The sequence below is a fragment of the Homo sapiens genome, chromosome 11, assembly GCF_000001405.40.
Source record: "Homo sapiens chromosome 11, GRCh38.p14 Primary Assembly".
NCBI classification, from domain to species: domain Eukaryota; kingdom Metazoa; phylum Chordata; class Mammalia; order Primates; family Hominidae; genus Homo; species Homo sapiens.
In genome coordinates, this window is record NC_000011.10 from 35,150,783 (window position 1) to 35,173,564 (window position 22,782).

At 43.0% G+C, this 22,782-nt stretch overlaps 1 protein-coding gene and 1 non-coding gene across 45 annotated transcripts in view, besides 5 other annotated features; both read left to right on the forward strand.

Annotated features, from left to right (window-relative positions):
- The window catches only part of CD44 (CD44 molecule (IN blood group)), a 93,232-nt gene that overhangs the window by 11,612 nt on the left and 58,838 nt on the right, over window positions 1-22,782 (forward strand). The window lies entirely within an intron of this gene.
- Window positions 729-959: a silencer, noted in NCBI's record as "fragment chr11:35173058-35173288 (GRCh37/hg19 assembly coordinates)". NCBI's record gives its function as "represses an EF-1alpha promoter that drives an FKBP-Casp9 reporter gene in an ReSE screen in phorbol 12-myristate 13-acetate-treated (for megakaryocytic differentiation) K562 erythroleukemia cells {active_cell/tissue: K562(+PMA)}" and the evidence as "EXISTENCE:reporter gene assay evidence [ECO:0000049][PMID:32094911]".
- Window positions 980-1,772: an enhancer, noted in NCBI's record as "OCT4-NANOG-H3K27ac hESC enhancer chr11:35173309-35174101 (GRCh37/hg19 assembly coordinates)". NCBI's record gives its function as "activates a minimal SCP1, AML or CMV promoter by ChIP-STARR-seq in primed H9 embryonic stem cells {active_cell/tissue: H9 hESC(primed)}" and the evidence as "EXISTENCE:reporter gene assay evidence [ECO:0000049][PMID:30033119]".
- On the forward strand, window positions 12,168-12,228 carry SNORD164 (small nucleolar RNA, C/D box 164). Its single transcript, NR_145794.1, has one exon. It is a non-coding gene; the product is annotated as a small nucleolar RNA, C/D box 164 (small nucleolar RNA).
- Window positions 14,777-14,826: a silencer, noted in NCBI's record as "silent region_3257". NCBI's record gives its function as "represses an Ori minimal core promoter by ATAC-STARR-seq in GM12878 lymphoblastoid cells {active_cell/tissue: GM12878}" and the evidence as "EXISTENCE:reporter gene assay evidence [ECO:0000049][PMID:35858748]".
- Window positions 15,247-15,306: an enhancer, noted in NCBI's record as "active region_4619". NCBI's record gives its function as "activates an Ori minimal core promoter by ATAC-STARR-seq in GM12878 lymphoblastoid cells {active_cell/tissue: GM12878}" and the evidence as "EXISTENCE:reporter gene assay evidence [ECO:0000049][PMID:35858748]".
- Window positions 22,277-22,778: an enhancer, noted in NCBI's record as "NANOG hESC enhancer chr11:35194606-35195107 (GRCh37/hg19 assembly coordinates)". NCBI's record gives its function as "activates a minimal SCP1, AML or CMV promoter by ChIP-STARR-seq in naive H9 embryonic stem cells {active_cell/tissue: H9 hESC(naive)}" and the evidence as "EXISTENCE:reporter gene assay evidence [ECO:0000049][PMID:30033119]".

Genomic DNA, 22,782 nt, shown 5'->3' on the forward strand with positions numbered 1-22,782 from the left:
AGAGCTTCTCCCTCTCAGTCACAGGGTGACTGTGGGCAAGGTCCTTCCCCTGTTGGTTGCCTCTGTCTCCCCAGTTATAAGATGGTGACAAACTGACCAACTTAAAATTTCCTTAAAATGTATTGGCACTGTGGACAGAAATGAGGAAAGTGGAAGACCTAGTTTCTGTCCTCAGGGAGCTTACCATTTGGTGGAAATAAAGTTAAACAGGTGAAAGAATTATGCAAGAGAGCATAACCAAGTGTCAGAAGACAGGAAAAACAGACATCTCGATTGCATGTGAAGGCTTCAAGGAATTTGAGGATGAGTTGAATGTGGAAAAGAAGATAGACAGAGAGAGGGGAGAGGAGAGAAACCCAGGGAAAGGCAAAACATGAGCCAGGTGTTTAAAGTGGGGGAATAAGAATGGCTTGATTGGGGCCAGGGGAGGGGTCTGTCTGCTTGGATAAGAGAATTCATGAAAAGAACAGTGAGAGATGAGGTCGGACAGATTCCAGGCAATCAAGTAACAGTGGCACTGTCCACTGGCAGAAGATCCAATTTTTCTGCCCCAGAAACTCAGAAGTTCTCATGAATCACCCTCTCAGACAGTGCTAGACAGAGTTCAGAAGCAGGCCAGCTCCAACAGTGAGAAAGAACTTTGGCAACTTTGCCTGGGTTAGAGAGTGGCAATTTAAGTGAATCCCAAACAAGACCTACTGTGGCAATAGCAAATAGATTTTAGCTCAAGGAACATTTCCCATTGACTCCTAGAGGCTTCCCAAAATGCTGTACTAAGAAGTCAAACCTTGGCTCAGGTATGGAGAGTGCTGTGATCCATTAGTGATGTCTGCTATGGGCACAATATGAAGGATTTGACCCCCATGCATCACATGGACATCACCGTAGTGGAGCAGCAGGCTTTCTTTGTTAATGTTTCTGAGAGTTGTGTGTATAGTCCTCTGGGAGTTTAGCCATTCTAGAATCTGTCCAGCTAGCCATACTATAGACTCTATCTCCTTCTAGAACAGTAAAAAAGCAGTCTCTTGCCCAGAGGGCAGAGGTTAGTCACTTGAGCCTTTTGTTAGGATTCACTCCCATTCTGTCTTCCCATTTACCCACATGAAGTTAGATGCTGGGAGCCAGATATTTCCTGTGTTTGAACAAGGGCCAGACTTCCTGGCAAAGGGTCCCTTCTTCCCATCAGTTTCTTCAACTGCAAACTGAGAAGACAAAAGTGATGCCTCACCCGTGGTGGCGACAGGAGGAATAACTAGCTAATGCGAGGAAAGCTTTTGAAGATGAAAGGGTGGTATGTGCATGTTAATTACAACTTTTATCAGCCCTGGAGCCTCTGCATTCTCAGCTGCCACTGGAAGCTCTTCTGTGCCTCCCAAATGCAAACAGCAGCCACATTCCATGAGCTGGCCTCACTAAGTCCTGCTTAGAGCATCCAAGTCAAGAAGGTTGGATTTTGAGCTCAGGCTGGCCAGCTGGCTCACTCTGGGCCACTCAAGTTTCCCACTACTCATCCCCAAGGGAAAAAGTAGGCTAGCTACCTGGGCAGGTAAGATAAGATAGAACCAAGGTATAAACAAAAGGCTCCATCAAAAGTCTACCAGAAATAGCCCCTGGGTAAGATTAGGACACTCTGCTCTAATTCCCACCCTGTGAAAGCCTAATTGTTTGACCTTGGGCTATTGGCTTTATCTGTCTAATGGTTCAATATACTGTGTGAACCATTTGGGGATAATAATCCCTCTGCCTCCCCTAGACCTCTCCACCTTTGCCTGCTGGTGTGAAAGTGTTTTGTGCTAGTAGGCAGAAACACGTGATATAAAACTACAAGGTCCTATTATTACCTAGGATAACTTTCGCCTCTATCTATGTCTCCTGTTGCTGGTTGACCCCAATCATTGAAACTGTATTCTTTGGAATGCTCAGCAGTCTCCTCCAAGCTGCCATTCCCTCCTTATCTAGGTGGGCCCAGTATTGGCTCAGGCTTCTTGGTTGTGCCACTTCCTAAGGCTTGCAAATGCATTCAGCCTGCCCTTGCTCTCAGTGCCAGCTCTCAGTGCCCTTGCTGGGATAACTCAATAAAGGGCTAGAGGTGGGAATGGGATAATCATCAGATGCTTTGCTAGTGCTGACGGGACAGCTTAGAAGGTATAAACTGAGCTGGGCCCATGCAGCAACACCAAAATATGTGTTCAAAGAGGGAGAAGAGGAGAAAAAGAGAAAGGAAGTTATCGTGGTCTGATAACAGGGCATGTCAGAATGGGAAAGGGTGTTAGGAATTATGTAGCCAACTTGTTTGATTGGAAAGATAAGGAAGCCTCAAGGGCTGCAAGTGACTTTCCCAAGGTCACAAAACTAATTGGTGGCAAAACCGTGGTCTTCTGACTTGTCCGGTTTCCTTTCATTTTATCCTTTGAGACGATAAAGGAGAGGACACTAACTAAACAAGAAGACAATGATCTGATCAGGACAAGAAGACTTGGAGTACAAAATGAGAAGAAGATAATAGGGTAATGGATTTTTTAGTGGCACAGTGGGAAATGGCGTAGGTGTTTACACTGCACTGGAGCCCTCACTGTGCTTGGAACTGGTTCCCTGTGCACAGTCTTGCACACCCATATTTGGTATTTTTTTATCCTTTTTGACTTAATGAGCATTTGGAAACCATAAGGCCCACAGCAACCTGACCTTTGACTTGCCCAGACTCTCTGAGCAATTTTGTGAGTTGAGTCAACAATCAATGGTTTTCAAATTATTCAATTGTTCACTCAACGCATACTAGTTGAACACCAATATCTGTGCTCTGCTAGGCACTGGGGATACCACTGTAGACAAGAGAGGCATAGTCTCCTCTCTCCTGGAACTTACAGTCTATCTGGAAGACAGACAGTAAACAACTAATGATGCCTTTGTTTAATTACACTTGTGGTAAGTGCTATGAAGGAGAAGCACTGGATCTTGTGAGAGCATAATAGGGAGATCTCATCTGATTTAAAGCACCAGGGAAAGCCTCCCAGGACCTGTTGGATGAATAGCAGTAACCATGTCTCCAGGATCCCCACAATTCCTTGAGGACCCTTGTTGTCAGACTTCTCAGAGCTGTACCAGCCCTCTCACTGTCTCACCATTGGGTCTTCTGAGTAAGAAAGCAAGAAAAAAAATTTTACTCCTCAAAATTCTGAAAGCAAGTGGTTTATCATGTCTGCCCTGTAATAGTGGTGGGAAGAAAATCATGAGAACCTCTAAGCTGACTCAGGATTTTAGAAGCACACATTTGGGGAGAAGGGAAACAAAAATTCTGGAGAAGCAAAAAGTGTCATATGGTATAGAAGTTATTTTAAGCTACTGGGGAAAATTCATAATTTACTTAGGGATCTTGAGTGTCAAGCATTGGTTTAGAGACAAATCTTATCCATTTCGTTGAAAGTTCCTTGATCTTGTGGCTGAAGCTTGGGCCTAGGGTTTTATTAGTGTACATTTAGGGGATGGTTTACAGGGTGTCTTTCAAGGTCATACAGGTGCCTCTTTTGGGGTCAGGCAGGAGGAATAGGACAAACTCTGGGATACGAATGTACAACCATTTGGCTCCTAGGGCCTCAGTCCTTTAGCTCCTTGCTTCTGGTGACTTCTTGGAGACAAGAGTAGACTTTTTCAGAACAGCGAGATAGTTGTGCTGACAAAACAAAAACAAAAACATCATTTAAGATGCCTTCAGATGCAAGTACATGTCATAATAGAAATATTTAAAAATTAGTAGAGTATAGGCACTAGCTAATTCAAATGCTTGGTTGTAAACAACTATGTCTTGTAAATGAGAATAAAGTTTATTCTCTCAATGACGATGATAACATCTTTCTCACTCACTTTTACTCAAATTGGCTTTATTGGGCAGGAGAGACAGAGATGGAGTTATAGGTATCATGATTGAACTTAAGCTACAACCCATCTATGCATCAAACCATCATGTGTCTCGTGTGATTGTTATCTGTTGTGTATATTTTGGTATATCCCTATCTGTACATACCAGCTGAATATTTCTGTAAGTAACAGAACAATCAGCTCTCATAAAATATTACCTCCCAGGGCAAGAAGTCTGGGATGATTCCAGGAAGTCAATGATATTATCAAGACTCAGGTTTATTTTTCCAACTTTCAATTCTGCCACTCCCAGTGTCTTCCTGCAATTTAGCACCCCTCATGTTCCTAAACTAAATCCCACAGTTCCAGGCATCCTAGGAAAAAAAAAATCAATATTTAGCAGCAGAAGAAAGAGTGTATATTCACAAACATCTCTTCTAAAATTGGAGGAGCGGCTTTTTGGGAAGTCCTTAATTGACCTCTCCTTATTTCTCATTGGATGAATGGGGTCACATGCCCACACCTAACCAATCACTGGCAAGAAGAGCTTGGACCACAGTGCTTGACTTAGACCAATCATGATCCACCCACTGGAGCTGGGATTTGAGGTCTCACCTGTCCTGAAGCACAAATTCAGGGTTTCTGAATAAAATTGCACTTCAGGTAGAATAGAATAACTTTTTTTGCATTGGTAACAATGTGGGCTACAATGAGTAAGGGAGTCCATTTACCTGCTAGAGTTGTGGTTTGAGACTATTTGGGCTAAGGAAAGAAGGCAAAGCTAAGTTTTTGTGCCTCTGTGCCACACCCTCAACCTTTTTCTGAAAAGACATGCCTCATGGGTAGAGCTCACATGGGGGACACACTGCAGTTTGAGGTTTAGATGGTCTGTGGCTTATACTCAATGATAATACCTAAAACTTTATCCTTTCCTGTCTTCTACAAAAGAGAATTATATCAGGGAATAATCTTAAATCTGTTATAATTTACAAGAAATAGCCAGTCTTCTGCACACTTGAGTACTTTATTATTAGAAACTCATTACTTGCAACCCATCTCAGCACTGTTGGAGCTACACCATGCATGAGGACCGCTGCTCTAGAGTCATCCATTAAAAAAGAATTCCTACGAACCTGAATGAGCATTTCTTTCTCTAAATTATGAGATGATGACCCTCAAGGGAAATGGCCGTCTTCCCTTTTCTACTGCACTCTTAGAGTGCATTAATGTGTGTGAAGTGTTTTCGGTTCCATTATCTAAAGCAGCCCTCATATTAACATCGTGGTTGGCATTACTGGCCTCCTGTATGGGATGAAAGTTTAATGACTTCTGCAAGGTTATGAAAGGTCAAGATCACAGCTAATTAGTGCAAATTCAGGATTTGAATTCTAGTTTCTACCCCAGAGCTGATGTCCATGTCACCATGGACATCATTTGCTCCCAATATACCTGATTTACTTTCAAGGGGTCTGGAATTGACTATTGGATTTTATATTAAAAATTGCTCTTTCATAGGCAGGAAAAAGTCCTTCCTAATAGTTTGAGTCCAAAGCTTAAGGGTCTAGCATCTCAACTTTTTAATGAACCCAAAAATGAACAGGAGGGTTTTCTGAGCCAGTCCCCTGCCTCCACACAGTTAGCTCATGAATCCAACATCATGGGAGGAAGTCTTCAGGATTTTGTTTCCCATTCCTTTTTTATCACCTAAATATAGTTAAAGGATTTGTGATGACTGCATCCAGAGATGTTTAAAAATGGACCTGAAGGATGTGATTGTGTCTTAGGCAGGAAGGGTGCCGGTTCTTTTCAGTATCTAATGATGAACGATCTAAAGGAAATGGATTCTAAACCATTTGATTCTAAACCAAAATGGTGTATGTTTCTTTTGAGGGTGAATTTCCTGATCATGAGCCTTGTTGAGCATTAGACTGGCCGGCTGGTTCCTAATCCATCCTTCAGTTCTCAGCTGCAGTGACATTTCCTTAGAGAGACAGATCTCCTTTGGGGACAGCACAGGACTTGAGAAAAAAGGCTTCCCTTTCCACTGAGCTTGGCTCCAACTACACCTCATGTGTCTGTTACATTTATCATGCTGTGTTGTCAACTTGTTTAATGTCTGTCAGTGGCTCATGCCTGTAATTCAGCACTTTGGGAGCCTGAGGCAAAAGACTTACTTTGACAGCAGAGGTTTGCAGAGGTTGCTGGGCAACATAGTGAGACCCTGTCTCTACAAAAATATATTTTTAATTGGCTGTGCATGGTGGCATGCACCTGTAGTCCCAGCTGCTCAGGAGGCTGAGGTGGGAGGAGTGCTTGGGCCCAGGAGTTTGAGGTTACACTGAGCTAAGATTGTGCTACTGCACTCCAGCCTGGGTGATGGAGCCAGACCCTGTCTCTATTAAAAATTAGGAAAAGAAATAGCCTGTCTACTCTATTGGTCCATAACCTCTATCGAGACAGTGACCTTGTCTGCTTTATTCAATGCCTGGATCTTTTCCTAGCACAGTGCCCAGCACATGGAGACACTGAATTTGGATTCTCCTTTTTGAAGTCCCCATATCCACTTCAGTATTGGGGTGATTTTGATGGGATTGTGACTTACCATGGTGGATGCATCCTGTGAGTTCCAAACTCAACTTCTTAAAAAACCTTGTCTATCATCTATCCATCTATCTGTCTGTCTGTCTATCTATCTATCTATCTATCTATCTATCTATCTATCTATCTATCATCTGTCTGTATTCTATGTTCCATCTATCATCTATCTGTCATATATCTATCTCTATCTATTAATTATCTCTATCTTTATCTATTTATATCTATCATCTATCTGCCATATATCTATCTCTATCTCTTAATTGTCTCTATCTTTATCTATTTATATCTATCATCTATCTATATCTATCATCTTTTAACCTATCTGTTTCTATTGGAATAAGAGACAAGTGCTTGAAAAGCAGAGGAGAGTCAATACACAGGCCACATCTTCTCTCACTCCCTCCTTCCTCCTCATAGCTGTGAGCCACCCCAGTCCCTGTACCTGCTTCCTTGGCTGGCATCATCTAAGAAATCATCTCTTCCACAGTTTCCTGCAAGGGCATCACCCCAAGGGAAGCTGAACACATGCAACATCTGCCCACTCAGGATAAGTGTGAGGGATAAGGAGGAAACATTTTTCCTCTAGAGACAGGACTGTTGGGGCAAGGGCTGGGGAAGCAAGACATGGATACTCCAGGCTACTTCTTGCTGGGGCTGAGGGGAGTGCTCGGTGTGGCTCCCCTCTGGGACGTGTTTAGGGCAGCTCTCTCGCCTCTGAAACAAGCCTCATCAGATCATCCCCAGGCTTCCTTCCGCATAGTTTCTGATGATATAGGAAAGGAGCCCGATTATCTGTTTGAGCTTCCTGTTCTTTGTATTGTTTGGAAGGCTAAAGTCAACAGCCACTTTTGTATTCTGCATTGTTTGCGTTGTTAAAAACTCTGGAAAACTCATCTGGTTTCTTCTCCAAAAGTAGCTTCCCAGAGCCCTGGGAGACACTCAGAAATAAGATCCTTTTCAAATAGGCCAGCAGGGACCAGGGTCTCTCAGAACCAGCTTTCCTATCTTCTTCCAAAGGCCGGAATTGAGAAGGTTTACTCCAGCCCACATAATTGAGTCTCTGGGCTGTCAAGGACGCATTGGGGAGTTTGCTTCTGGTGTGCTGGGTGCTTAGAAAGCCGTATGAATTGCAGAGATAGAGTTGGGTTCCAGTTCTGCCAGTCACCAATTATGTGGCCTTAAGCAGTTTACTTAACTTTTCTGAGCCTCAATTTTCTCTTCTCTAAAATAGAGTTGTAATATACCTATGGCTTAGAGTTGTGTAAGGACTGACGCGATCACAGACTTGAAACCCTTGATAGAACGACTGGCATGGAGTAAGCATTCAACAGTCATAATTAAGGTCATTGTGATGATTACACTTGGGGCCTCTCCATTCACCATTTGCCCCAACTGTGTTCCTGCTGCACTTGAAAATGATTCCAGCTGCCTCTGGAAGATTTTCATCCCATTTCTGGGAAAAACATTAGCCAATAAACTCTCATTGAATTTGGCAGGGCGGGCACACCAGCAAGCTGACACTATGTGCATACAGGCTTCCTGGAACAACTGTTGCTGAGCAAATGAAGCAGCATGGAATGTTCCGGGAAGCAGGATTATTGCTGTAGCTGGTGAAAGTGAACTGGGAAACGCACTCCAGGTCCTGTCTTTACTTGCACAATTACAGTCAATCCCCAAGGCTGCTTGTCTCAGCAGGATCAGCCTCTTCCTGCCTTCTGTCCTGGCAGTGGGTGGTGGGGCTGGAGGAAGAAATGGTGTTTTCCTCCCTCTCCCATTGCAATTGTTTCCTTACAGTGCTGTTCTCTGAGGCCAGAGAACAGAAGGGCTCTTTCCAGAGGCAGTTTAACAGAGTAGCTTCCTTTTCATTCTGAGAAGTTTGGAGTTTCCCAGAGTCCACTTCCTCCCTAGAAGCGCAAGCTTGGAATTTCTTGGTTGCCAATGAGGTGCCAGCTTCTGAGTGCATAAAGTGTGTCCATCGTTTTTAATCAATTCTCTCATCTCCAAAAATACCTTTAATTGCCTTTAGCTGCTTAGTTCTGCTGTCCTCTAAAGAAAACAAGATCTGGCCACTCCCAGCCACACCTCAGAAGTGAGTAAGGCTTTTGCACCTTTTAATAGGAGTATTTACATGTGTGTCGGTTTCTCATCTGCTTTTAATTTCATTAGAGTGTGATTTTGGACTGTTGTTTGAGATGAAAGAGCAGATTATCAAAGTGCAGATGATTTTTTCATGGTGCAAACACATCATAAATTAGAAACTATGAGACCCCTTTGCAGCGGGGAAGACTGGGGCCAGTCATCCAAGGTTTCATCTTCCTGTAGGAGAAGGGAAAAAAAACGGACATTTATTAACTATCTGTTATGATCCAGACTCTCTACTGGTGCTTTTTGTATATTTATTCTCTAACTCCCATCAACTTCTCTTTGAGAGAGGCAGCAAATGACAACTGAATAAATGAATGGCTGAATTTCATCAGAGCCAGTTTACAGGCAGAGAAACTGAGGCTCATAAAGCGGACGTAACCTGCCTGAGATGTCTCAGCTTTTATATGGTGGGGCTGGAATTCAATTCAGAGCTCCTTCTCCCTTTTAACACTACACTGCAAGTTCCCATTCAGCTTCATGGGATTAATCCTGTTCTTCTGTCCCTAGAATGGAGCCTTGAAAGTTCAAGGTGTCTCCTTTTCCTAAGAAACTGGATTTTTCTGGCTCCTTGAGAATTGAGGAGCTCAAAACAATTGAGAACTCTTGGGAGGCATCTTCAGGAAAGGAGGTGGTGGAAACTTTCCTCTCCTCACTCTCCCCAGGGGCAATGGGGCCTCCAAGGCCATCAAAGATCAAGGTGCCAGGTGGGGGATGCCTCCCAGCTTCCCATTCATTTTTCAGTTGGGGGCCACTCAGCAGCTCCTCAGGTGAGGATTGTCTCAGAACTGAAGAATGGTTCAAATTGGCCCAAGATGCTGAAATTTATTGCAGGGATCACTGGGACAGTGTGTAGCAATTTAGGAGGCTTCTCTCTAAGGGAATCAGTAGCTGCTGCATTTCTCTTAATTGAAACCACTCTTTCCCTCCAGCTTCGATGGGGCAGGTTCTCATATCTGCGTGCTGAAAGGCGTTTATTTGGTGTATTCTGAGAGCAGGATGCTGGTAACACTTTCTTTTGTGTTTTGCCAATTGTTTCTTTTTACTGGCTAGTCCACCCTGTCTGACGCATTCATTATACCATAACCACCTTGACACCAGAGTGAAATGCCATTTCTCTGCAGGTAGGAGAGAGTCACACGGATTCCTTGAGTGTTTGTAGCGTAAGTGAGAAAGATATGTAGCCTTCTTCTAGAGGCAGAGGGATGGGTTGGCTGGGACTTAGAGATATTCAAATCCAACTCTGTTCTTGTCTGATAAAGTAAACGAGGCCTCTGAAGGTAAAGTGACTTCTGTAAGTACTCACAGCTTATCAGTAAGAAGCCTGATATTAAAACTCCAGGTCACTAGACCTTCAACCTAATGTTCTTCCCACTAAACCAAGTTAACATTTATTGTACACCATACTAAATGGCAGACACTGGGGACACAAAGATGAATAAGGCATGGTCCCAGTGGAACCCACTTTGGTTATATGGGTTAGGACACTTGAGGCAGGATCCTCCTTAGAATGGTGTTTTATAAAGTCTCTCTTTCTCTTTCTCTCTCTCTCATCTCTCTCCAATCTATCCTCTCTATCAAGAGAGAACACATGTAATGTAGAGTGAGAGCCCATGTATTGGATAATTAGGCTTCTGGCTCCTAATTATCAGGAAGCCTGGAGGTCTTGAGTGGTTGTAACCAAGGATACTGAAAGTGGTTGACCAGTTAATAAAGAATTAAGTTAGAGTAAGAGGCACTTTACTTTTAAGCTGCCTTTAATACACTTTAATCTTTGAGATGATTGGCTAATATCTGTTAAGTACCAGGCTCTTTGCAGAGAGTCAGGTCCTTTGCTAAATGATTTAGGTATATTTCTTCATCTAATACTCAAAAAGCACCCCATAAGGAAGGCATTACTTTTATTTTACTGATGAAGAGACTGAGGCTTAAAGGTTAAGAAAACATAGCATGCATAACATCCCACAAGAGCTCAAGCCAGGACTTGGACCCAAGTCTTTCTTGGATCTTTCCGATCCAAGCCATATGGTTACTGCAATCTCACAATACAATGAGGGTAAATCCTTGCAATCACCAGTTACCAGCAATTGTGAAGCAATGGATGGCATAGATGTCAGGGGGTCAGGAGAGCCTTGCAAGCGTTCAGAGGGCTTGGGAGTGGACACATCACAGTTGCACTCTGCTGGGCAGCGCTGTAAGTCTCTGATTGGATTTTGCCTTGAATTTTTTCTGGTCAAGACTCAGAAAGGATGGATGTAGCTTCACTTACACCAATTCTACCCAGCTTGTGACCCAAATGGAACTCTTATCCCTTAAGCCAGGTCATTCAGTTGTTGTAGCCTTTGCCTTCCAAGTTTCCCTTGTCTACCCTACTGAGTCTGAATTCTAAGGACATCTTCTTATGGACTGTGGGAGGCAAAGATGAATTCCAAATCTTATTTAATCTGTGTGCTGGGGGGGAAGAGGAGTGTATTTCCTTTTGCCAGGTATCTGAGCCTACAAAAAGCCCCATAAATAAGTAAAATGTGTCCATGAGTTCATAAAAGAGTGAGCCTTAGACATACAGACCACCTGTCAAAAGAGCCCTGTCATTCTCTATTATATTATCCTCTTTTATTTTCTGTGTAACACTATGAGTATCTGAAATTACCGTATTCATGTATTAATCATTTACCTGTATACTATATCCTCACTCTAGAGGTAAGCTCTTTGAGGGCACAGATCGTGTCTGACTCCCCAGCCCCCAAGATTGTATCTGGCTTGTATCAACCATATCATAGGGAAGGTGCTGTGAATTGACACCTTGCACCATGCTTTATGGAAACTAATGGTGCTTTAAGAGGCACAGATTTCATAGAAAGAGACCCAGTTGTTCCCACCCTGATGGTTCTAGGTCTAGGTCTAGGTCACCAATGTCTATGGTGAAAGAATGGGCTTTTGCGAGGTATGGTCTCCTGTCATGTATGAGGGTCATTTATTTAAGGGAAAACCAAGACCTTATTTTCTTTGACAACTGCACACAAGGGTCATTTGTAATGTCCTTCATTTCCAAGCCTCTGGATCTTTGCATGGATCATGCTCCTTAAAAGAAGGAAGTTATGTTTGGCCTGCTTCAGCTAAGCATGGAATGGTAAAGATTTTGGTCCAAACCCTGTGACTTGAGTTGGATTTAAAAGCTTGTCAGAAATGAGTTCTCTGGAGCTTGGCATTTGAGACTGGCATCCGTTGTTCCAGATGAGATTTCACGGATTGAAAGCTCAGGAAGAGGTGTGAATTACAAGCAATTAGTTCACAGGGCAGTTGGAACTGTAGTAATCCTGGAAACCTTTTGGCCCACATTTTAAAAATATCCCCACAATCCAGCTTCTCCCTCTGTAGGGCTTCTGCTTGGGAAAGTTTGTGTAACTCCCCAAAACATCTGAAGAGTGAATAGCAGTAGTGTTCTTGGACTGCGAAGGAGACCCTGCTTCTTATGTGCATGCTCTTGTGCACACAGACAGAAACACACACATACATGCACACACACACAGACATGTACACCCATGTTCGCTTTAGCATCTGATAGAAAAAGAGGAACATGAGGAAAGACAGAGATTGAGTCACCAACATGTGACCTGGTGATTTCTGAGTCCTCTGACTTTGAAATCAGTGGAAATTTAGAGCTCTACTTTGTCACTTGTAATGCTTTGTTGTTGCAAATAAATATTTTTGCAGCTGCATCACTTCATTGCTAATATATTTGAAGAAGGCAAGATAACCTAAAGGCATGAATCTTGTTCTGTTTTAATCCACCTGTAAGTCAGTGGTGGTTGTAAGGTAAATTGTAAGTAAGAGCTATTGGCCACCAAGTGCCAAGGGTTATGAATGATTTACCTTTTTTTTTTTTTCTAAACTGAAGGAAACTCATGGTTGTTCCTAGAAAAACATGCACACTCACTTGCTTGCATTCGGATAAGCTTCTTTGAGTAACAGGGAAGAGGCCACTAGGATTACAAGGCAGTTAGTGCCCATTGGAGTGTGACTGGCATTGTGCACCCTGTGAATCATAGTGGTGGTATGGGGAAAGGGGTAAAAAAGCATCAATCTATGGAGTATGCGAACCAGATGGCATCTGTCCTGGGAAGAACAAATATCCTTCATAGGAGAATTAGAGGACTATACTAGTCAGGCAGAAATCCAGTCCATTCATCAAGCTTTTCCTCTTGCTGTGGTCCCTACAGGGTCAGCCCTGTTTAGGCTCAAGCCTCTTAAATCCCAGTGCAAGACCAATTTCTCTATGAAATTCTCCCTGTCTTCTTTGGTCTCATGGCTACTTCCTGGGAGGAAAAAGTAGTAATCAGCTCCCTCCCCCCAGCTAAATGTGCATGGTATTAGCAAATTCTAACCCAAGATGTTAAAACTATCTGAGAAGAGGCATGATTCTGCTTCTTGTCTGTACCCTCCTAAAGTCAAGGTGCAGCAAGGAGAGAGACATTTGCATGTGGCCCCTGAGAAAGAAGAGATTTGTCTGCCTCACCCCCTGCTGGTGCAAACTTGCACCTCTCTCAGCCTCAGTTTTCTTATATGTATCAAGTTTCAATGATCGCAATAGTACTTATCTCATGTGACTACTGTGGGATTGAAACGAGATAGTTCATGTGAAGTACCGAGCACAGAGCCTGGCACACAGTAGGTACTCTATTAGTGTTAATATCACTGGAAAACCCAGCTGGGGGCTCAGCAGTAGAAGCTGCCAGAGCCTTAGTGTTACAGCCACATCCATTACCCCACCATTCACATACATTTCATGCCCCAGGGTGAGAATCCACATATCCCAAGCAGAGAGGCACAGCTTTGGTAAACTGAGTCTTAGCTAACTCATGTCAGAAACCAAGTGTTATCCTGGGGTTTGACTCCTGGCTCTTGCCACATTCATAGCAGGATGCTGAGTGGATTGTACTCAGCCTCACTTGTTGCATCTGTGAAATGGGGGTGATTTTTTGACTTCTCAAGGTATAGCATCTATTAAGGCACATAGACTACAATCTGACACAAATTAGCAGCTCCATACATTGCAGAATCTTTTCTTTTTCACTTAAGGAGATGCTAAAAGAGGCAAGAGGAAAGAAAATCAAATTTGGAGATGCCGTGGGCTGTGTGTTGAAGTTGGGCTCTGGTGGAATTGGTGGTGACCTTTTGCTTCTCTCCATCTGGATGGCTGTATCTTCAAAGACAACAAGTCTTAACTGCAGTTTTTGATTGTATAAATCTGGCCAAGTCCACTATTTACCCAGCCCAGTCTCCTTAGAGTAGGATTGGAAACTCAAACTTTGCTATCTCCTCTGCAGAGTGAGCAAGGGACAATCTTTATGAAAAACTTTAAGTTGCAAGATATTTGTGTTCTTAATAATGAAGGGAAGAATACAAAAATGATAATACTAAGCCTGGCTCATGGATAGCATTTTTGCACAATATATTTCATTTGGGCTGCAGCCTTTGAGCTGTACTAATTGCTCTGAGCATCTGTTTGTATGTCCGTTGCATGGGATGATTTACCCTCCTAGGTTTCCAAATGCTTTGGAGCCCCTGGTTTATTGCAGGACTTACTAAGTGGTGGCCATCGTCACTTTGATTGGCCCCTACCACAGTATTTTCCAGACTTTTCCACCAAGGCTCTTAGGGCTTTGTGGTGGGTGCCAGAACAATTGATGGGGTAGGGTGGGTGCTGGAAGAGAATGAGCATCTGGTAGATTGAGTCTCTGGGTCTGCCCTTCCACCCTCACTCCAGCCCCCATTAGCTCAGCTTGATTTTCAACCACTTGAAATACTGTGGTTGTGCCTAAGACATCATGTCAGGGAGAGAAAGAAACATCTGAAAACCATCAATCTTCTCTCTGAATGCTTCCACTGGTCCCATTTGCCTGTTGACAACCCAAGTTGAAAAGGCAGCACCAGAGGGGAATGGGGAAAATTAGCAGAACTGGAAAATCTGAGTTGAGATCTGGGTTTACCAAACTCTCCGTAAGACTTTGAGTCTGTGAAACTTATGTCCATTAGTTTCTTCACCTTTTAAATGGGTCTGTAGTACCTACCCTCTGGGCCTCACAGGCTGCTTTTGGGTGTGAAAGTGCTTTATAATTGGTGAAGGAAACTGCTACGTGGCAAGAATAGCAAAGCCTGATGTACTTTAATCCATTCGGTTCTGCTGAGGGTGGAGCCCCAATGTGTCTTAATTCATATGAGGTTTCTGAGAAGCTTTTTGAGATTTTAATACTGTCCCAGGTATGCACATCAACCTTCTCACTTTTATCCCCCAAGCTCCAAAATTTCATAACTTTTTATTTCATCTTGGGTGGCAGGAAGGCAAGGTGTGCCTGGGGGAGCTACAGGGAGTTATTCAAGGTCACATAATTAGCTTATAATTAACAGAGTTTAGGCTAGAACCAGTGCATCCCACTCCCAGATGGGGGCCCCCGGCTTATCTCAGCATGTCAGCAACCCATGAATCAGCCCTGAAATATAGATATTACCTATGAGTAACAGTTTCTCATCCTACCTCAACTGTTACGAAAGTCTTCCCTCAAACTAAAGCTAAGCAGTTCCACAAAATGCCAGCTATAGACATTAGCAGAAACTGTATATTGATTAGGTGATGTATCAGTCATTGTAACTACCCAGAAAAAAAAATACAATGACAAAACCAAGTGGCCCAACCTTATTTTCTACTTGCAAGAGGAAAAACCCTATTTGGGCCCCAAGATGCTTTTTTCATTTCATTTACCACATCCTGGGTTTGTGCTAGTCAATCTGCTAAATCAATAAGATCCGAAAAAGCAGAAAACAAAGATCGTGAGGCCAGAGGATTTCCTGATCACCATGGCAACACACAGGGGTGGGTACTGTGGTTTCTCTGCCTGAAGACGCACTCGTCAAAGACTACTTGGTGTTACAGAATTCTGGTGCAGTGAAGCAACAGTTCTGGGACATATACTTTCTTTTGCCAGAAAGACTCTGTTGGATCCAGGACCAGGAGTGGGGGGTTAAACAGTTCTCCATACCCTCACCTCCAAGTCCCCATCATCCCATTAGGAGACAGGGACAGTACTGTTCTCCAAACTCTCAAAACAACCCAAGAGCTTTCTAGGCTGTGCATTGGGTTGATCATTTGGTGGCCTTGGCTGAAGGGCCAGGGTAACAGCTAGGAGAACCCTTGGGATTCTTCTCCAATGTGACAGGCCCCTCCATGTTGGTTCAGCGTTGACTGCCATGACAGGCTCCAGGCTCCACGGAAAAAAGGCAGAGAAATCAGGGGGTCCAGCCAGGCGCCAAGACGTTGGGGTGCCTTGCATTTCTAAGTGCCAAGTGATGAATAGCTCAGTTGAAAGCAACCCAGGGCACATTCTGGAGGAAATTCTCTGGGTATGATTGTGCATGACTGTTTTCTCTGCTCATTAAACCCTCATCTGCCTCCAGGGCAATTCCGGGAGAGACTGAGTCACTCAAGACTCATGGTCTGCACTGGGCAGCCAAAGGCGATTCGGCCACCAAGTGTGATTCTGGCCTCATTCAGAAGTGGATGCTAAACAATACACCCTTTCACCAGGAGCCCATCACATGGGCATCAGGAGATGGGGGCGAGTGATGTGCCAGCCTTCTAGACTGGCAGGCCTGGGGGGCAGCAGAGGGCACAATAGCTAGAAAGACTCCCAGATGAAAACTTCTGGGCTTTGAAGCCTTCGAACAAATGAAGAAGAAAATGACTTCTTCGTGTCCTATTAAGACAGTGAGTTGTGGCTTTTTTGAGAGCAGCTTGCTCAGACCTCTTATGAAAGATAGATCAGTAGCAACAGCACTGGTGTAGGAGTCAGAAATCTGCAATTATGAACCACTGAGTTTTGTGTGTGTGTGTGTGTGTTTTTGTTTTTGTTTTTTGTTTGTTTTGTTTTGTTTTTTAACTTGCTGGAGGACCATACTCGGCTATCCTTGATTTTATTTTCTCCTGTGTCACAAGAGAAATTGGTTAGAAGCTTCCCATTGTGCCTCCTGGCTTTAAAAATAGATAATCCAATTAACAATAATGCTTTAAAACAACAAAACCTTGTCCTTTTCCCTTCCTACTTCTGATCAGAACCAGCTCAGTAAGATTTATTAGTTGTGCAATCTGTTTTGGACATGAGCTCAGCAAATCAGAGGACAGAAATAGAATCCTGGCTTTTTAATGATAAACACTGTAAAAATAAAAAATTTGGAGAGCTTACCAGTGCTTCTGGCTGCCCAAGTGGTTTGTGTGTGGTTGACTCCCAGGAGCTCAATCACTTTGGGTGCAGTCCACCCAGAGAGCTATGTTCCAGCTACATCAACCTGGAGCCTTAGCTTGGTCAGTCTAGATTTTTGGGTTTGGCTGCAGACATCTCGTAATGTCACAAGGACAGCCTGTGTCCTTGGTGACCCAACCCTGGGCCAACCCCAAGTCCTGGAGTCCTCTCCTAAGAGCCCTGCCTAATTGTAGAGAGAGCATTCAGGCTGTAAAGGGCAGGAGGCCTGGGGGCTACGACTAGGTTTGGGCTTTCTAAATTCCCAAGAGTATGATGGGAAGACCAACAGGCAGAATCAGAGAGAAGCAGTCAGCCCACTGCTGGGGAAAGCCAGTCAAGGTCAAGACTTCAGAATCTCCTCTCTGGAGAGAGAGTGAAAATTCCATTAGTGAAGTTTGTTCCACTGAAGCCTTACCAGGCCTTGGTAAAGGCCCCTATCTTGTGGTCCAGAATCAAGGGACTTCTGATCTTAAAATAATATTCAATAAGCTCAAATTCTTCTCTCTAGGGCTCTCTTTTCATGATCACCTCTCCACACTTTATTAAAAAATCACATGAAGGGTAAGTGGGCTTCCTGTCATTTCAGTGTCTGACCTGTGCATAAGTTGGAATTTAACACTGGAAAATGATCAGCCAGATTGCCCAGTCTGAAACCCAGGTCCCCCAGTGACTAGCACAAGTTACTTACATCTTCTCAATGAATCAGTTACCTCTTGTGTAAAATGGGGATAATAAAAATGCCTGCCACACAGGATTGTTAGGAAAATTAAGTGAAATATTAGGTGTAAAGTGCTGAATACCTTGAACCCAGACTAGGCACTCAGTGAGTGCTCACTGTGGTTATGGACCAGGAGCTGCAGGAATTAGAACACCATTGAGTAGCAGGAACTGGCTTTATTCTCATCTTCATGATAAAGCAACTTCTCCTTACATATAGCTTAATCTGGAACCAAAAATCTAATTCTGCCTCATCCCTCCTGAGGAGATGACAAATAGGGATCAGGCACACCTGGGTGGCTCAAGTTAGAAAACAAATTAACTCATTTTGCAGAATCTGGAGACGTCTGGTCTGGAGAACTGACAGTGCCCTCTCTTTGGGCATAGTATGACTGTAGGTTGTCTTTGGGTGGTCTTCATATGGAATGTACTGTGTTTGCCATGTTCCCTAGGAGATCTGGCCTCAGAAATGGCCCTGTGATGGTATGTGAACATACTGTCCTGTAACTGAGATGATAGCTTGCACATTCAGACAGACAAAGCCAGTTACAAAACTAAAAGTTGGTCTCTGAAACATTTGCTTTCGGGGAAAACAGCAAATGTTCACAGAAGCAAAGTTCTGGGTTAAAGACATTTTAAGTATCCAATAAGGAATTCTCAGCAAACACCAGCTGGTGATTCCTCAGATATGATGTGGGAAAGGAACCTGATAGGTGATCTTTTTGCACCCTATAAGACTGCAGCCTGTCGGGGGTTGGGGGCAGAAAGAGAGCATTTATTAATTCATTATTTCATTCAACATTTGCCTACCATGGGAGGCTGTACTAGGTACTGGGAATATAATTGTGAAGAAGGGAGACACCATTTCTGTTGTCAACGAAGCCCACAGAGAAGTTCCAAAATTTCAGAATGCTGGAATTTCTGGTTACTAGAGACCTTGAAGATAATAATTTCTTGTAATTCTTTACCTGGTTGTGTCACAGACTTTGAAAACCAATGAAAACCAGAGATGTTGCCCTACCTAAACACACACACACACACACACACACACACATCCATACACACAATCTTGCATATAATCTCACAGGTCCATGGATGTATTGACCAGCTCCTGGATTCCATATTGAAAATCCCTTGCAGCCCAGCTCCAATACTAGTACCAGGCCACTCACCTCTCAGGAAAGTTTGGGAAGACGTAGATAATGGCAACTTGGGTGAAAATTACACAGTGCTCTCTTCCCAGCACATGTTGTGATTTTCTACAACTTCAGAAATAACTGGGGTGGACCAAGAAGCTATTATTCCTCGCAGGCCCTACAATCTAGGCAAAGCTTTGAAATGTGCTCGGACAATTTTATCAGAGATCTATTTTCCTTGATCTGAGGCTTAGGGGGCAGTATAGATGAGATTAATGGCATTTGGGATCAGTGATGGTTTATCCAGGAGAGAATGCATAGTACCTGTAACCAGGAGCCTGAATAGGAGGCAACATAGCATAGAGGTTAGAATCCTGACTTTCCCACTTGGATGACATTGGGCAAAGGACTTCACCACTTTGTGCCTCAGTTTCCTCATCTCTAAAATGGGTTTAGCAATAGTGCCTACCTCATAGCATTTTTATGAGAATTAAATTAGCTGAAGTACATAAGGCACCTAATAAGTGTGCAATGCTCATTGGCTCTGATTATTAAGTGTCAAACACCATATCAAGTGTTTGACATACCTTATTTCATGTAATAGTCCCATAAACCCTGACAGGTTCGCATTGTCATCCCATCAAGGAAGAGGTGGAGAGTCAGAGAGGTTAAGTAATTAACAACCTGTGTCACCTAAAGTGAGTGGCAGGGTCAGGAATTGAACCAGGTTTGAGGAGGTCCTAACTAGGTTGAACTACTGACCTTCATAAAAGTTTGGCACTACAGACCAGCTTTATAGGACAAAAAAACCTTCTTTCAGAGCTCCTTTTTCTCGCCTTCCTGACAGCTCCCTAGCAGACCTCTTCCCATGTGGGTAGGGAGATAAGGTTCCTAGACACTGGGACACTGGTCTCCATGACCCCTCTGTGCTGCCCACAGCCCTATAGTAATGAGCGTGCTAAAGGCCTGGTGGCATTTCTACCACGGGAAGTCTCCTCTCCAAATCCAAAAGTGGCCTCAAACAGTCAGTGTTTTCAGTTGAGCTCATTTATCGCTCAGAGGGAGGCACTTGGGACATTTTATTCATTACATGATGCAGGAGATTTATTGGAGACCAGAGGGCTCAACGGAAAACATTCTTGGTTTATTTCCAGCCAGAAAGGCTTGTTTGAGAGATGCAATCAGCCATTTAGTATTAGCTTCTTGAATCAAAGTGGATCCTGAATCACAGAGTTCTCTGTTTCTCAGGAGAGACACACAGACATCTGAGGAGTCTTGCCTCTCTATAGTGGTTTGCAGCATGGCTAGCACCATTGCCAGAGACACTGGCACTCTGTCAAGCAATGTTCTGTGGTCCATGGCTATTCACATCTTAACCTTGCCTTAATTCTACTTCATTGTGAGTTTGGGCATGTTTCTTTATTTCTTCCCCTCTCTGTGTGTTAGTTTCTCCATCTGGAAAATGAGGATACTAATATTACCCACCTCATAGGAATGTTTTAAGGATAAAATGAGTAAATAATTCTAAAGTGCCTAAAATAGAGCCTGGCATATACACAATGAATGCACAATAAATATTAGCCACTGCTCTTGCTGTTGGCATTATTAATATCCTCCCGGGTAATAATTTGGGTTTGCGTTAGTATCAAGGAAACCTGATGAAATGTCTTCATAAATTATCAGGGTTTGAATGACACACAGCCTTGAAAATGTTGGCTCCTTTTAAGTCAAGAGGGACCTAGAGTAGAAGGATTGTGAACATTCACAGGATAGTTGACCAGAAATGAAGTATTTGACACCATTCTTGCAACTCCTAAGTAGCTAAATAGCGTCAGGGTTAGGAGTTGGACTTTCTCATGAGATCAAGATAAATGTAAGCTGTGGAATTTTTACTTTGCATAGGATTTCTTCATCCAATCAGCAGCCCTTTGCAGATACCTACAATGTGTCAGAACCTGCTTAAGCCTTCACATCTAGGAAGGCTAAAGGTTGAGTTTGTCTGTTTCATCCTGTCTTGGCTGATCACATGCACATACAACCACACACTCACTTGCATACAAACATATAAGTATGAGGAGAATTCAAAATGTTCATGGAAAAATGAGATTAAAAGATAAAAGTTTAAAGATGTAAACTTTACTTCTCAACATAAGCACCATCACATTCAAGATACTGTTATAAGCTATGATAGCGGCCATTTAGTCCATCCCTAAAGAACTGAGGGTCCTGGGAATTTAATCACATCAATGCAATCTTTCTTACATTGTTAACTAAAGAAAAATGGGTGCCCTTTGAAGATTTTTAAAGATTAAGTAACAAAAAAAAAAAAGTCAGAAGGAGTCAAATTTGGACTATAAGGTGGATGCCTAATGGCTTCTCCATAGAAATTCTCAAAAAAATTGCCTTTGTTTGATGAGAATAATGAGCAGGAGCATTGTCATGTCATGATGGAGGAAGACTCTCTGGTGAAGCTTTTCGATACATTTTTTCTTCAAAAGCTTGGGCTACCTTTCTGAAAACACTCTCATAATTAGCAGATGTTATCGTTCTTTGACCTTCCAGAAAGTTAACAAACAAAATGCCTTGAGCATCTCAGACAACGGCTGCCATGACCTTGGCTCTACACTGGTCCACCTGCTTTGACTTGTCCACTTTTGCTTTGACTGGACCACTTCCACCTCTTGGTAGCTATTCCTTTGATTGTGCTTTGTCTTCAGGATCACACACATAAGGCCATGTTTCATCTCCTGTTATAATTCTCAAAGAAATGCTTCAGGATCTTGATCCCACTTGTTTAAAATTTCCATTGAAAGCTCAGCTCTTGGTTGCAGCTGATCTGGGCACAATGGTTTTGGCAACCACTGAGTGGAAAGTTTGCTCAACTTTAATTTTTCAGTCAGATTTGTGTAAGCTGAACCAGTTGAGATGTCTATGATGCTGGCCATTGTTTCTGCTGTTAATCATTGGTCCTCTTCATTTAAGTCACAAATAAGATTAATTTTTTTCTCCCAAATTGATGTGGATGGCATATCGCTGCAGGCTTCATCTTCAACATCATCTTGTCCCTTCTTCAAACAAGTTATCTGTTTGTAAGCTGCTGATTTCTTTGGGACATTGTCCTGATGAACTTTTCATAAAGCATCAATGATTTTTTCATTCTTCCACCTAAGCTTCACCAAAAATTTTGGTGTGTGTTCTTGCTTCAATTTTAGCAGAATTCATGTTGCTCTGAGAGAGGATCTTTTCAAACATGTCTTATCCTTGTTAGTGCCTCAAACTAGATCCTGTTCAGATATATCAAGTTAGTGAGAGTTTATTTTGGTGCAAAAAAAAAAATTTGAAATCTATGTATAGTTTTTTCATAGCACGTATTTTTCATGGAACTTTTGGAAGACCCGTCATATAGACACACTCACACAATGGATGCATGTATTGTCAGTGAAGTTATGTTGGCTTCTGAAACTCAAGGGATTTTGCTGAAACTCATGAAACTCAAGGGATTTTACTGAAAAGTCTCAGCCTCAATTGGTTCCTCTTACATTTGCATATTCTGTCTGCCAGGTGGCAAGGTAGAATTGACTGTAATAAGAAAGAAACTACCATTGAGCTCCAATTATTGTCCATGCCTCAGAGTTGATTTTTAACCTGAGAGTGACAGCAGCCACCTGGGCCAGGGGCAGACAGGTAGTTTGCCTCACCTGGAATCAGAGGCTCCCCTATCAGCCTTATCTTCAAGAAGCTGATAGGAATGCTTTGTTTTTCTTTTGTGTGCTGGACAAGGAGAGGCCCCGGAAGGTCTGTCATGTAGATTGACAGTTTCCTTTTGTAAGACTGGCCAACTGAGGCCAAAGTTGAAAATGTCAGTAAAAACAAATAGTATTGCAAAAGGGCCTTATGCATTTCCTTCTCTATCCTCTCATTGCCCCATCAGCCGAGTGCTGCATGAGTGGCTTAAGAGAACACCATTAGGCTTGAAAAAGAGTGAACTGCAAAAACACATTTTCTCCATTTCACCTAGTTGTTATTTTCCCCCCATGTGC